The following is a 15,747-nucleotide window of genomic DNA, read 5'->3' on the forward strand; positions in this document are numbered from 1 at the left end:
CCGTTCCTACCATTAAAAAAAAAAAAAAATAGCCAGGTATGGTGATGCCATGCCTGTAATCCCAGCTACTCGGGAGGCTGAGGCAGGAGAATCGCTTGAACCTGGAAGGCAGAGGTTGCAGTGAGCCAAGAACGCACCATTGCACTCCAGCCTGGGCAACAAGAACGAAACTCCGTCTCAAAAAAAAAAAAAAAAAGGAAGCAACCTGGGCACGGTGGCTCACACCTACAATCCTAGCACTTTGGGAGGCCAAAGAGGGACTTGACTCAAGAGTTCAAGACCAGCCTGGGCAACATAGAGAGACCCTGTCTCTGAAAAAATAAAAAAATTAGTCCAGTGTGGTGGCATGTACCTGTAGTCCCAGCTACTGGAGGAGGCTGAGGTAAGATGAACGCTTGAGTCTAGGAGGTGGAGACTGTAGTGAGCTGGTATTATGCCACTGTACTCTAGTCTGGATGAGAGGTAGACTCTGTCTTTAAAAAAGAAAAAAATCCAGAAGCAATTTAAAAATAAAGGCCAGATATAGTGGCTAACCCCTGTAATCCCAACACTTTGGAAGGACAAGGCAGGAGGATCACTTGAGGCCAGGAGCTCAAGACCAGCTCAGGCAACATGGCAAGACCTCATTGTCTCTACAAAAAATAAAAAAATTAGCTAGATGTGGTGACGATGTGAATGATCTTAAGCAAAGTCAAGACACACATGACGGAATCCACTAAAAGACTCTTAGGACTAACACCTAGGTTACAGGAGACAAACTCAATACATGAAACACATCTGTCAGGGTAAACTGGTGGGAAAAAAAAATCAATTGTATTTCTATACATAGCAATAAACAATCCAAAAATTTAATTTAAAATATCCAATTGGAGGGCTGGGCGTGGTGGCATGCCTGTCATCCCAGCACTTTGGGAGGCTGAGGCAGGCGGATCACGAGGTCAAGAGATCGAGACCGTCCTGGCCAACACGGTGAAACTCTTTCTCTACTAAAAACACAAAAATCAGCTGAGTGTGGTGGTGCGTGCCTGTGGTCCCAGCTACTCGGGAGGCTGAGGCAGGAGAATCGCTTGAACCTGGGAAACAGAGGTTGCAGTAAGCTGAGACCGCACCACTGCACGCCAGCCTGGTGACAGAGTGAGACTCCATCTAAAAAAAAATAATAATAATAGAATAAAAATAAAAAAATAAAAATAAAAAATCCAATTCCAATTACAACAATTACAATAGCAGTAAATTAAAAAAAAATTCTTGGGAACAAGATTAACAAAAGAAGAATAGCACCTGTACACTAAAAACTATAAAACACTGTTAAAAGTTTTGAGGCCAGGGGCAGTGACTCGTGCCTGTAATCCCAGCACTTTAGGGGGCTGAGGGGGGGGCAGATCACTTGAGGTCAGGAGTTCGAGACCAGCCTGGCCAACATGGTGAAACCCTGTCTCTACAAAAATATAAAAATTAGCCAGGTGTGTTGGCATGCACCCATATTCCTAGCTAATCAGGAGGCTGAGGCACGAGAATCACTTGAACCCAAGAGGGGGAAGTTGCAGTGAGCCGAGATGAAGCCGCTGCCCTCAAGCCTAGGCGACAGAGTGAGACTCAGTCTCATTAAAACAAACAAACAAAACAACAACAACAAACACTGTTAAAAGTTTTGGTTAAAGATCAAAATAGGTCGGGCATGGTCACTCATCCCTGTAATCTTAGCAATTTGGGAGGCCTAGGTGAGTGAATCACCTGAGGTCAGGAGTTCAAGATCAGCTTGACCAACATGATGAAACCCTGTCTCTACAAAACTACAAAAAATTAGCCGGGCATGGTGGTGTGGGCCTGTAGCCCCATCTGTTTGGGAGGCTGAGGCAGGAGAATCACCTGAACCTGGGAGGTGGAGGTTGCAGTGAGCCAAGATCAGGCCACTGCACTCCAGTCTGGGTGAGAGAGCGATTCTCTGTGTCAAAAAAAAAAAAAAAAAAGTCAAAATAAATGGAAAGACATCCCATATTCACAGATATGGTGATGACCAAATACTGTTAAGACAGCAAAACTTGGCCAGGTGCTGTAGCTCACGTCTGTAATCCCAGCGGTTTGGGAGGCCGAGGCGGATGGATCACTTGAGGTCCGGAGTTCGAGACCAGCCTGGCCAACATGGCAAAACCCTGGATCTACTAAAAATACAAAAAGTAGATGGGCATGGTAGCACATGCCTGTAATCCAAACTACTAGGGAGGCTGACAGAAGAGAATTGCTTAAACCCAGGGGGCGAAGGTTGCAGTGAGCTAAGATGGTGCCACTGCACTCCAGCCTGGGCGACAGAGTGAGACTCTGTCTCAAAAAAAAAAAAAAAAAAAAAGATGACAAAACTTCCCAAATTGATCTAGAGTCTGTGAAGATTCCAGTTGCATTTTTTGCAGAAATAGATAAGCTGATCCTAAAAAATCACAGAGAAATGGCAAGGAATCCAGGAATAGCCAAAACAATCTTGAAAAAGAACAAAGTTGAAGGAATCACACTTTCTGATTTCAGGCTTTCTTACAAAACTCCGGTATTTGGCCAGGAGCAGTGGCTCACGCCTATAATCCTAGCACTTTGGGAAGCCAAGAGGGGAGGATTGCTTGAGGCCAAGAGTTCGAGACAGCCTGGGCAACATAATGAGGCCTTGTCTTTACAAAAAATTTAAAAAATAGCTGGGTGTGGTGGTGAATGCCTATAGTCCAGCTACTCGGGAGGCTGAGGAAGGAGGATGGTTTGAGCCTGGGAGAAAGAGGCTGAAGTGAGCTGTTTGTGCCACTATACTCCAGGCTGGGCCTTAGAGTGAGACCCTGTTTCTAAAAAATAAATAAATAAAAAAGCTATAGTAATCAACACAGTGTTTGAACAGTAACAATATATTATTACTGGCATAACAATAGTCACGGTCAATAAGCACAAAAGTCAAATAACAAATTGACAAAATATATCTACAATTTATATCACGGACAAAGGCAAATCTAATAGATAAAGAACTCTTAAAAATCGAGGATAGAATTTCCCCTGATAGAAAATGGGGAAACACACATGAAAAGACAGTTAAAAGAAAAAGATAATTAAATGGCCTTCAAAGATATAAAAAGATGCTTGACAGTATTACTTACAAAAAAAAGGGGAATTGAACCAGCCTGGCCAACATGGTGAAACCCCATCTCTACTAAGAATACAAAAATTAGCCAGGCGTGGTGGTGCACACCTGTGGTCCCAGCTACTCGGGAGGTTCGGGCAGGAGAATTGCTTGAACCCGGGAGGCAGAGGTTGCAGTGAGCCAAGATTGCGCCACTGCACTCCAGCCTGGGAGACAGAGCGAGACTCCGTCTCAAAAAAAAAAGTAAATTGAAATTCCTCACCTATTAGATTAATAAACATATAATCGTTTGACAACATAGGACGGGCTGTGGAAAAGTAAGACAGACTCATAAATTTCTAGGACTACAAAAGGATACAATTCCCATGGAAGCAGAATTTAGCAATATTTACAATATTATATATACAATTACTATTTAACCCAGTAATTCAATTTCTAGGAACTTACCCTTAAGATATACCTCCAAAATATCAAACAATGTGTGGATAAATTTATTCACTGGGCATTATCTATAGGAGCAAATATTAGAACAACCCTTCCTTACTAGACTGGTTAGATAGACTATGAAGTATCTATATAATCTAATATCATACAGCTATAAAAAATAAAAACGTGGATGTACACAAATGTTCATAGCAGCATTACTTGTGATAGCCAAAAGCAGAAACAACCCAAATGTTCATTAACTGATGAATGGATAAATAAAATGTGGTATACATATGCACAATGGAATATTATTTGGCAAAAAAGACAGGAATTATATATACTACAACATGCATGAAACCTGAAAACAATATGCTAAGTGAAAAAACTCAGTCACAAAAAAACACATATTGTATGATACTAAATATCCAGGACTGGTTAAAAAAAAAAAATTGTATTTATATTACATATATTCCACACATTAAATATCTAAATGGACAGTTGCCTAATGGTGGGGAAATTAGGGAGTGATTGCCTAGTGATGTGGGTTTCTTTCTGGAATAATAACAATGTTTTAAAACTGATTACTGTACACTTAATATCTCAATAAAGGCTTAGGATTGCTCTCAGTCCAGAGTCTTAAAGAAGCAGACTGTCTTTGTTGAAGACTTGAAGAAGCAAGCCACCAACCATGAGTTACACAACTGCAAAGAAATGAGTTTTACCTACATCCATGTGAGTCTGGAATACAGCCCCAGCCTCGGATGGTACCTTGATTCTGGCTTATGAAACTCAGAACAGAGGATCCAACTAAGCCAAGACTAAACTGGAATCTGTGAGATAATAAATGGATGATATTTAAGCTGCTAAATTTGTGATAATTTCTTCAACAGCAATATAAAATTTATACACTTGTGTGTACGCACATTTTTTTCATTCCATGGTACTGAAAGGGGCTAGAAGCATGGCATCATAGCAGTAACAAATACCCTAGTAGAAAAAGCACATGAAAAATTCAGATTTTGACTTCTAAATAATAATCCTCACTAAAAGAAACCAAAGCTCCTTGAGGGAAATAGTTGATTCCAGATACAGGCCAAAGAAAGAACAAGTCTGATAAACAACAGCAGAAAAGTAAACCAAAACAAAAAACTAAATCCTCACTACTCCGAACAGCAGAAAGCAGGGAAGTGCTCAAAGATAAGTAATCTGAAGACATGTATAAAGGAAACAGGGGCCAGTTTAAAGGGGCTCCTGTGGTAAAATCAGGGAATTTTGAGCAGTTTCCTATAAAATGCTAATAGATTATAATATAGTCAATTTTATGCCAAGCATGATAGCTTATGCCTCCTAGCACTTTGGGAGGCTGAGGCAGAAGGACTTCTTGAGCCCAGGAGTTAGAGTCAAGCCTGGGCAACATAGGGAGACCCTGTCTCTGGAGAAAAACAAACAAAACCACCCAAACAAAAAAAATTCATGAGTCTATAAGGTATTCAAAAAAACAAAACAAAACAAAACAAACAGAGAGTTTACGGAGAAAAAAAAAGAGAAGCTCATCTTCACCAGAAAATGTCAGCTAAAAATCAAGAAATAATGGAATTAGAAAATTTTCTTTTCTTTCTTTTTTTTTGAGACGGAGTCTTGCTCTGTCGCCCAGGCTGGAGTTCAGTGGCGCAATCTCAGCTCACTACAACCTCTGCTTCCTGGGTTCAAGCGATTCTCCTGCCTCAGCCTCCCAAATAGCTGGGACTACAGGTTGCATGTCACCAGGCCTGGCTAATTTTTGCATTTTTGGTAGAGATGGGGTTTCACCATGTTGGCCAGGGTGTTCTTGAACTCCTGACCTCAGGTGATCTGCCTCCTACAGTTCTCGGATTACAGGGATGAGCAACCACACCCAGCAAAAATTGTCATTTTTCAACCATCAATGTAATTATTAAACTTAGGGAAAAAACATTAATGGATGATTAAATGTTAGATTAAAAAAGACTGATAGAGAACAAGCCATAGCCTTAAATATCAACCCATGGTTTATGTACCAATTACAATGGGAAAAAATGTAGTATCTTTGCAATGAAAAGACTTGGTGGATACCACCTTCACTAAGTAATCAAAAATGGCACCATCAATGCTGGGACAATAAGTGGGATGCAAAAAGAAGTATAAAGTATCACATATGCAATATTCCTGCCATGATTTTTAAATTTTATTAAGTTTTATTTATTTTTATTTTTGTAGAGACTGGATCTCACTATGTTGCCCAGGCTGGTCTTGAACTCCAGGCCTCAAGTGATCCTCCAGCCTCAGCCTCCCAAAATGTTGAGATTACAGGCATAAGCCATCTTTCCCAGGCCTCTGCCAAGATTTTTTTAAACCTAAATTTAATCATGAAGATAGGATCAAAGAAATCCAAAATGAAGGGCATTCTAAAAGACAACAAAAGCCTGAGTTCTTAAAAAATGGTCGATCTTGGCCAGGCGTGGTGGCTCAGACCTGTAATCCCAGCACTTTGGGAAGCTGGGGCGGGCAGATCACTTGAGGTCAGGAGTTTGAGACCAGCCTGGCCAATATGTGAAACCCCGTCTCTGCTAAAAATACAAAAATTAGCCAGGCGTGGTGGTGGGCACCTGTAATCTCAGCTACTCGGGAGGCTGAGGCAGGAGAATTGCTTGAACTCCATCTCAAAAAAAAAAAAGTTCGTATTATTTTCTCTTTCTTTTTCTGAGACAGGGTTTCAAAAAAAACGCTTTGTCACTTAGGCTGGAATGTAATGTCATGAACACAACTCACTGCAGCCTCGGACCCCTGGACTCAAGTGATCTGCTCACTTCAGTCTCACAAGCAGCTGGGACTACAGCTGTGCGCCACCACACCTGCTGGATTTTTATTTTATTTACTTATTTATTTCTGAGACAGAGTTTTGCTCTGTCACCCAGGCTGGAGTGCAATGGTGCGATCTCGGCTCACTGCAACCTCTGCCTCCGGAGGTCAAAGGATTCTTCTGCCTCAGCCTCCCAAGGAGCTGGGATTACAGGTGCCTGCCACTGCGCCCAGCTAATTTTTGTATTTTTAGCAGAGACAGGGTTGTGTCATGTTGGCCTGACTGGTCTTGAACTCCTGACCTCAAGTAGTCTGCCTGCCTTGCCTTCCAAAGTGGCCTCAAGCAATCCTCCAGCTCCAGCCGCCTAAAGTGCTGGGATTACAGGCGTGAGCAATCGCACCTGGCCTTTATTTTTATTCTGTTGTATGATATTACAACAGTAGATACATGTCAGTATACATTTGTCGAAACCCATAGAATGTATATCACCAAGAATGATATACAGGATTACAGGCCTGAGCCACTGCGTCTGGCCTGAATTCTTAAATTTTTAGTAGAGACAAGGTCTTGCTATGTTGCCCAGGTTGGTCTTGAACTCCTGGGCTCAAGCAATCCTCCAGCTCCAGCGGCCTAAAGTGCTGGGATTACAGGCGTGAGCAATCGCACCTGGCCCCTTTATTTTTATTCTATTGTATGATATTACAATAGTAGATACATGTCAGTATACATTTGTCAAAACCCATAGAATGTATTTCACCAAGAGTGAACCCTAAAGTAACTACGGACTTTGGGTAATAATGGTATATCAATGTAGGTACATGGATCATAACACATGTATCACAATGGTGTGGTGTAACAGTGGGCAGGTTGTGTGTATGAAGAACAGGGTGTATATGAAAACTCTGTACTTTCCACTCAATTTTGCTGTGAAACTGAAACTGCTCTAAACATAAGTTTATTAATGAAACTGCTAACAACAAAATAGCCAGCCCACAATAATATCCTGGCTTCACATCTTTCAAGAATGCATACATGTACTAAACTGATCAATGTTCTTAAAAATGCTTAAAGAATAAACCATTTTCTTCCTACTTATTTTTGGGAGAGGAAGAGCTAGTTCTAACATACATAAAGTGATATTTCAGTCCATTTTCAGGTCAAATCTTTTGTATGACCAGAGACACTTACAAATCACTGATACGGTTGTATAATTTGATGTGAAATCAAATTACATCAAAAGATCAGAATCTTCCATTTTTAAATCTTTAATCAAGAAAAAGCACAAAAGTAAAAAACAGAAGTGTGGTCTTATGATATATATAAATATAAATATGAATATAAATAAATAAATAAATATATATATATATATATATATATATATATATGTTTTCATCCATGGTTCCTGGCTCTTAACTCCCATAGTCCCTGTTATAATGTTGGGGCACTTTAAGTCTCAGGAGTGGGCCTCAGGAGATAGAATCTCTCTTTGACCTTCTCCTGTCTTCCTTTCACCTACCTAAGGCAGGACTCTAATCTGATTCTGGGCCAAGAAAACCCTCACTCCAGAGAGGGTCCTGCCCCATACCCTAGAGAAAGGAATGTGACACAGAGAGGCCAAGAAGTCTAGACAGGACATGCTGGGTTTACATCCTCTACATTTTGTTCAATCACATTTCTACATGGCTGTCATTGACGCCTATGAAGCTTCCATAAAAACTCAAAAAGAGGCCGGGCGCTGTGGCTCACTCCTGTAATCCCAGCACTTTGGGAGGCTGAGGTGGGCGGACTGCCTGAGCTCAGGATTTCGCAACCAGACTGGGCAACATGGTGAAACCCCGTCTCTACTAAAATACAAAAAATTGGCTGGGCATGGCGGTGTGTGCCTGTAGTCCCAGCTACTCAGGAGGCTGAGGTAGGAGAACTGCTTGAACCCAGGAGGTGGAGGTTGCAGTGAGCCAAGATCTTGCCACTGCACCCCAGCTTGGGCAACAGAGCACGACTCCGTCTCAAAAAAAAAAAAAAAAATTTAGCTGGGTGTGGTGACAGGTGCCTGTAATCCCAGCTACTCTGGAGGCTGAGGCAGGAGAATCACTTGAACCTAGGAGGCAGAGCCTGCAGTGAGCCAAGATCATACCATTGCACTCCAGCCTGGTTGACAAGAGCGAAACCCCATCTCAAAAAAACAAACAAAACCACAAAAAACAAAACTCAAAAAGAAAGGTTCAGAGAGTTTCTGGATAGCTGAACATGTGGAGGTTCCTGGAGGGTAGTGCGCCCAAGGAGGGAATGAAAGCTCTATGCTCCTTCCCCAGTATATGTCTTCATCTATAGCGTCTGTAATATCCTTTATAACAAACCAGTAAATGGAAGTACATGTTTCCTTGAGTTTTGTGAGCCATTCTAGCAAATTAATCAAACCCAAAGGGGGGATTGTGGAAACCCCAACTTGAAGCTGGTTGGTCAGAAGTTCTAGAGAGCCAGAGTTGTGACTGGTCTAAAGGGAGGGTGGCGGTCTTGGGAACTGAGCACCCAACCTATAGGATCTGACCCTATATCCAGGAAAACAGTGACAGAATTGAATTGAGGACACCCAGCTGCTGCCTATTGCTTGGTGTATGGGAAAACCCTCATACCTTTGGTTACAGAAGTCTTCTGTGTGTTTTTTTTTTTTTTAATTTTATTGAAAAAAATGGTTTTTTTTAAACCAGCAGTTTGCTCTTACAGACTTCTTTGTTGATGATTATTGTGATGTGACAGCAGAGGAAAAACACAGTCTGAGAGGTTCTCCCTAAGCAAGAAATAAAACTTGAATTTTATTTAGCAGAAAAGTTGATAATTATATTTCTGCTCTATTTAGCAGACTCTGTTCCAAAATTATGACTGAATTAGATGTGTCCCAAAGTGTATTTCTACTTTCTCATTTCTACTGACAGAATGTTGATTTTTTTTTTCCTTAACAGCTATTAACACCTAGAGTAATGACCATTATTTCCGCAACCTGTCTTATGGCTAAAGTGTGGCTATGCAATTTAAATTCTAGCCAATTTATATAAATGCGGGTTTGAAATTTTCTTACAAAGAAGGAGCATGGGCCAGGCATGGTGGCTCACGCCTGTAATCCTAGCACTCTGGGAGGCAGAGGAGGGCGGATCACCTGAGGTCAGGAATTCAAGACCAGTCTGGCCAACATGGTGAAAGCCCATCTCTACTAAAATTACAAACAATTAGCTGGGCACGGTGGTGGGTGCCTGTAATCCCAGCTACTTGGGAGGCTGAGGCAGGAGAATCGCTTGAACCCAGAAGGCAGAGGTTGCAGTGAGCCGAGATCGTGCCATTGCACTCCAGCCTGGGCAACAAGAGTGAAACTCCATCGCAACAAACAAACAAACCAGAAAACAAAAAACAAAGAAGGAGCATGCTTTTCCTCCTCTTTTCTGTCTGTAACAAACATCAAATGGCTGGACTCTAGTAACTATCTTGGAACATGAGGGAATCTTAGGAATGCATAATTAGTGCTGAGATAGAAGGGAGAAAAAGGAGCCTAGGTCCCTGAAGACATTGTGAAGGTACCATTATGAACTTTGAACTACATACTTCACAACTTCTCTTAAATTAAAAAAAATAGTTAAGTGCCTATCTTTTTAAAGTCTTGGTTATTTGAGATGATTTATTATTATAATTAGCTAAACTTAAGCTTCATTAGTAAAATGTTTTCATGACCTAAGAAGCACGTTCAGAGTATAAAAATTTTGTGATATCTACCTCAGTGACAAATCAATAAAAATCTTTTAAATGCAAAATAAAGTGGTATGGTTTACATGTCAATTACTTTAACACCACCAAACGAGATGTACCTCTAAAATCTAAGGTTTCCTCTTTCAATCTTATTCTTCTCTTTGTCTAAATTCAGATATTCATGACTTTTTGACAGAAACTGTGAGGTGAGAGTTTTTGCCACTAGTAATTCATTCCATTTATTTTCCACCCTGCTGCTGGAGTTATCTTAAACAAACCTATACCTTTCACATCCATCCCCCAAACTCATTTTTTATTTCCTATAGCAAAATAGCATTAAAAAAATTTCTTTTTTTTTTGAGATGGAGTTTCGCTCTTGCTGCCCAGGCTGGAGTCAATGGCTCGATCTCGGCTCACTGCAACCTCCGCCTCCCAGGTTCAAGCGATTCTCCTGCCTCAGCCTCCCAAGTAGCTGGGATTACAGGCATGTGCCACCACACTCGGCTAATTTTGTATTTTTAGTAGAAACGGGGTTTCTCCATGTTGGTCAGGCTGGTCTCAAACTCCCAACCTCAGGTGATCCACCCGCCCTGGCCTCCCAAAGTGTTGGGATTATAGGTGTGAGCCACCACTCCCATCCAAAACCAAATATCTTAAAGTTAACTAAATATCTCAAAGTCCATGGTTATATGTTCCTCATCATATAATGCTTATTTACCACAGGGCCACTACATTTCAGAAGCCCTAAACTTTCAAGTTGTTTTGATATATGAAAAATCTTTGTATCCTTTTTACATGCTGTTCTGACTGGAATATCCTTCTCCATCTGGTAAACTACTACCACACCTCTAAATCCTAACTCAACCAGAAAATATTTCTTAATTGATGATAATTTGCTATCCCTTTGATGCTTTAAAAATTCTCAATTAGAGTGCTTATTAAATTGTACTCTGCCAAGATAATACAAAGTTCTTAAAAGCAAGGCAAATATTTTATTCATCTGACAAAGCTCATGGAACACAGCGTCCAATCAGTGAAAAATGAAGTCACCAATATAAAAAATGAAGTCACCAATATCATTTTAGTTACACAGAGCCATTTATTGCTTAAGTTAATAAGAAAAGCATCATTAGGGCCAGGCACGGTGGTTCACGCCTGTAATCCCAGCACTTTGGGAGGCCGAGGCAGGTGGATCACGAGGTCAGGAGATCTAGACCATCCTGGCTAACATGGTGAAACCCCGTCTCTACTAAAAATACACAAAATTAGCTGGGCGTGGTGGCGGGCCCTGTACTCCCAGCTACTCGGGAGGCTGAGGTAGGAGAATGGCGTGAACCCCGGAGGCAGAGTTTGCAGTGAGCCAAGATCGCACCACTGCACTCCAGCCTGGGTGACAGGGCGAGACTCCGTCTCAAAAAAAAAAAAAAAAACAAAAAAAGAAAAGAAAAGCATCATTAGAATCTCAATCTAGAAAGGCAGAGAGAAGATAACCATCAGAAAGACAATTAGTCTCATACAACATAAGACAGTACAGTAGTACAGTGAACACTGGTATTTGTGCATATTACTTTTGTACTGATTTCCCCCCACATCAGAAAGGGTAATGTATTGACCTTGACACAAAGTTTGAGGGAGGCGTACCTCATACATGAGTGCAAAAACACAATCATCACGCTTATGAAACACAAAAGAATCTATATTGTTTTTTGATAGTCAAAGTATTTTTCCAAATGTGGAAGAAAAAGGGATGTTAGCTAATAGGTACTACTACTTACTCTGTAGTTTTGTAAACGTCAGAATACAGCCCTGCTTTCTGATACTTCTTCTTTGGGGGACGTGGGGGCTTCTTTTCCCTTGGGATGAGAGAAAGCACAGGCTGCAAGGTACTTTCAGGTTCAGAAGGTTTAGCTGGGGTTTCAGAAGGACTGGGAATCTCAACTGGTGCTTCATTAAAGCTAGAAAGAGAAGTTTAAAGATAATTTTATTATGAAAAAAAAGTTTTCCTACAAATAATTGTCTACTTAAAAAAAAAAAACCATAGCAATTAAAAAAAGAGATATGGGGACTTCCTTATCTGGCCATGTTTAAATAACTGGTACCAGACTTCTCCTGACAAGAAGTAATAGAAATATGGTAGTCTACTAGATACTTAGAGAAAATTTTATTTTATTTTATTTTTTGAGTCGGAATCTTTCTCTGTCACCCAGGCTGGAGTGCAGGGGCACAATCTTGGCTCAAGGCAACCTCCGCTTTCTGGGTTCAAGCAATTCTCCTGCCTCAGCCTCCCGAGTAGCTGATATTACAGGGGCACGCCACCAGTTTTGTATTTTTAGTAGAGACGGGTTTTGCCATGTTGGCTAGGCTGGTCTTCAACTCTTGACCTCAAGTAATCCACCTGCCTTGGCCTCCCAAGTGCTGGGATTATAGGCATGAGCCACCGTGCCCGGCATGAGAAAATTTTAAAAGACAATTATTATCAGATACTGGACAACAGTTAATGCAGCACTGTTATCCCTGAGAAATCTGAAAAAAATGCGGTGAGTCACACAACCACCTTGCCTTTCTTTTATCTTTTTTTGTTTATTGAGATGGAGTCTCGCTCTGTTGCCCAGGCTGGAGTGCAGTGGCATGATCTCATCTCACTGCAACTTCTGCTTCCTGGGTTGAAGCGATTCTCCTGCCTCAGCCTCCTGAATAGCTGGGATTACAGGCGCCTGTAACCACATCTGGATAATTTTTGTATTTTTAGTAGAGACGGTTTTTAGTTTCACCATGTTGGCCAGGCTGGTCTCAAACTCCTAACATCAGGTAATCCGCCCACCCAAAGTGCTGGGATTACAGGCATGAGCCACTGTGCCCAGCCCCACCTTGCCTTTCCTTTCCTTCCTTTTCTTCCTTTCCTTCCTTCCCTCCCACCCACCTTCCCTCCTTCCTTCCTTTCTTTTTCTTTTCTTTCCTTTTCTTTTTTTTTTTTCTTTTTTGAGACGGAGACTTGCTCTGTCTCCCAGGCTGGAGTGCAGTGGTGTGATCTCGGCTCACTGCAACCTCCGCCTCCTGGGTTCAAGAGATTCTCCTACCTCAGCCTCCTGAGTAGCTGGGATTCCAGGCATGTGCCACCACACCCAGCTTATTTTTTTTGTATTTTTAGTACAGACAGGGTTTCACCATGCTGTCCAGGATGGTCTTGAACTCCTGATCTCAGGTGATCTGCCCACCTCAGCTTCCCAAAGGGTTGGGATTACAGGCGTGAGCCATCACGCCCAGCCTCCACCTTGCCTTTCTAAGAATGACTGTGGTGCAGAAGTAGAAACCAAGCAGAGAATGGCCAAACTGATGAGCTGAAAAGGGATATATCAGAGTACAGAGGGACTGAGATAGCTGGAATTTGTGGAAATGAGTATCAGAATGGAAAAACCTATGGAGAATTATAACTCTAGAAATCTAACTATGGGTGTCTCTTTTAGTATACTGCTAAACACTACGTTGTGCATGTGAAGGGTGAAATTCCATATGGCTGAACAAGGAACTACCAGAAAACTGTAACCTGAGCAATTCACACAACTCACACATGATGGCAGATACTCATTCCATTAGGCAAAGTAGAAAGACATTGTTCAACAATAGGGGACATTAAACAGCAAGCCCAGAGGGTAATGTTATCCACTGTTAGAGGGCTTAATTATCCTGAAAGGAAGACTAGCCTTCACTGGTGGGGCGCAGTGGCTCACGCCTGTAATCCCAGCACTTTGGGAGGCTGAGACAGGCGGATCACCTGAGGTCGGGAGTTCAAGACCAGCCTGACCAACATGGAGAAACCCCGTCTCTACTAAAAATACAAAATTAGGCGGGTGTGGTGGTGCAAGCCCGTAGTCCCAGCTACTCGGGAGGCTGATGCAGGGGAATCGCTTGAACCTGGGAGGCGGAGGTTGTGGTGAGCCCAGATAGCGCCATTGCACTCCAGCCTGGGTGACAAGAGCAAAACTCCGTCTCAAAAAAAAAAAAAAGACTAGCCTTAGCTAAGTTTAAAAACAATATGAGAATCCAAACTGATCCATAAGTAACTTAACTGCCTACCAAAATAAAATTGAATATTTGTAAAGGAAACCAACAAAAACCAGACATACAATAATGCGACATCACAATGTCTTGCATCCAATAATAAATTCCTACATATGCCAAAATGCAGGAAAATGTGACCCAGGGGAAAAAATCATTCAGTAGAAACAGCAACAGAAATAGAAATCACAAAGATAGAAAAGAAAATAACTTTAAAATACTACTCTACAAGCATAAATCAGGAATTTAGAAGAAAATACAAAGATAATGAGGAGAGGAAGAGAAGACTTAACAACAACAACAAAAGGAATATTGAGAATTGATAAATACGAAATCTGAAATGAAAAACTGGAGAGTACTTAACAGCAAATAAGGCACTGGAGATCAGTGAACTTGAAGACAGCAATAGAAACAACACAAACTGATAGAGATTAAAGAAAAGAATAAATTATGTAAAGAATATAATACTAACAGAATCTTAGAATCCCGGGAAAGGAGAAAACTTACTACTAAAACAATTGGACACTTGTAAAGGAAAACAACAAAAACCAGATATACAATGATGTAACATTCACAAAATAAAAAATTCACAATGAAAAAAATTGAGAATTATGGCTAAAAAGTTTCCCAAAATGATAAAAAGCATAACCTCAGAGTTAGAAGAAAGTAAGCAAACCATAGGCAGGATAAATAAAACAAGGTCCAGTATATCGTAATAAACTTGTTAAAAACTACTGATGAAGAAAACAAAAGAAGCTAAAGAGGCTGGGCGCAGTGGCTCACGCCTGTAATCCCAGCACTTTGGGAGGCCGAGGTGGGTGGATCACGAGGTCAGGAGATTGTGACCATCCTGGCTAACACGGCGAAACCCCGACTCTACTAAAAATAAAAAAGAAATTAGCCAGGCGTGGTGGTGGGTGCCTGTAGTCCCAGCTACTCGGGAGGCTGAGGCAGGAGAATGGTGTGAACCCGAGAGCTTGCAGTGAGCTGAGATCGCACCACTGCACTCCAGCCTGGGAGGGCAAATAAATAAATAAATTAATTAATTAAACAAAAAAGCAGCAGCTAAAGAGAAAACACACGTTATAAAAAGGGGCCGAGCACAGTGGCTCATGCCTGTAATCCCAGCACTTTGTGTGGCTGACGCAGGAGGATTGCTTGAGCCCAGGAGTTCAAGACCAGCCTGGGCAACATAGCAAGACCCATTTCTTAAAAAAATAATAATAATAAAAAAGTTTAGATCTCATATCCAAAACAGTGCAAACCAGAAGACAATGTAATGACATCAAACAGTGTTAAAAGGAGAGGCAAAGGGGAAGCTTATCAAAATAGAAATCAAAATAAAACAAAAACATTAAAAAAAAAAAAAGATGTGCTTGATTCAGCAGCACATATACTAAAATTGGAACAATACAGAGATGAGCATGGCCCTGGTGCAAGAATGATATGCAAACTTGTGAAGTGTTCCATATTTTTAAACAAAGCATTTTACTTAAAAAATAATACAGGTGATTCTTGTTCCACACAAAAATCGAACAGATGCACATCTACCTCTCATTTTACTAAGTACAACTAAAAACTCTGGAAATTGTCTATAAAA

General features: G+C 41.1%; 1 protein-coding gene, 1 non-coding gene and 1 pseudogene across 15 annotated transcripts in view, besides 1 other annotated feature; 1 reads left to right on the plus strand and 2 right to left on the minus strand.

The window, feature by feature from the left end:
- Positions 1-15,747, minus strand: part of ASH1L (ASH1 like histone lysine methyltransferase) — a 227,935-nt gene that overhangs the window by 68,610 nt on the left and 143,578 nt on the right. For 11 of the 14 annotated variants that reach the window (XM_017001785.2, XM_006711450.4, XM_006711451.4 and 8 more), the window contains one exon: positions 11,867-12,046. The exons of 2 other annotated variants lie outside the window; for them this stretch is intronic. In XM_017001785.2, the coding sequence (XP_016857274.1) occupies positions 11,867-12,046 (180 nt within the window). Of the gene's footprint in view, positions 1-376; positions 4,526-11,866; positions 12,047-15,747 lie in introns of those variants that run through there. One more of the 14 variants, XM_017001787.3, reaches the window with a different exon arrangement.
- Positions 11,681-11,785, minus strand: LOC124904842 (small nucleolar RNA U13). The gene has a single exon (XR_007067437.1). It is a non-coding gene; the product is annotated as a small nucleolar RNA U13 (small nucleolar RNA).
- Positions 12,436-12,939: an enhancer, noted in NCBI's record as "H3K27ac-H3K4me1 hESC enhancer chr1:155386104-155386607 (GRCh37/hg19 assembly coordinates)". NCBI's record gives its function as "activates a minimal SCP1, AML or CMV promoter by ChIP-STARR-seq in primed H9 embryonic stem cells {active_cell/tissue: H9 hESC(primed)}" and the evidence as "EXISTENCE:reporter gene assay evidence [ECO:0000049][PMID:30033119]".
- Positions 15,520-15,623, plus strand: RNU6-1297P (RNA, U6 small nuclear 1297, pseudogene; annotated as a pseudogene).

This window comes from Homo sapiens, chromosome 1 (genome assembly GCF_000001405.40).
Source record: "Homo sapiens chromosome 1, GRCh38.p14 Primary Assembly".
NCBI classification, from domain to species: Eukaryota; Metazoa; Chordata; class Mammalia; order Primates; family Hominidae; genus Homo; species Homo sapiens.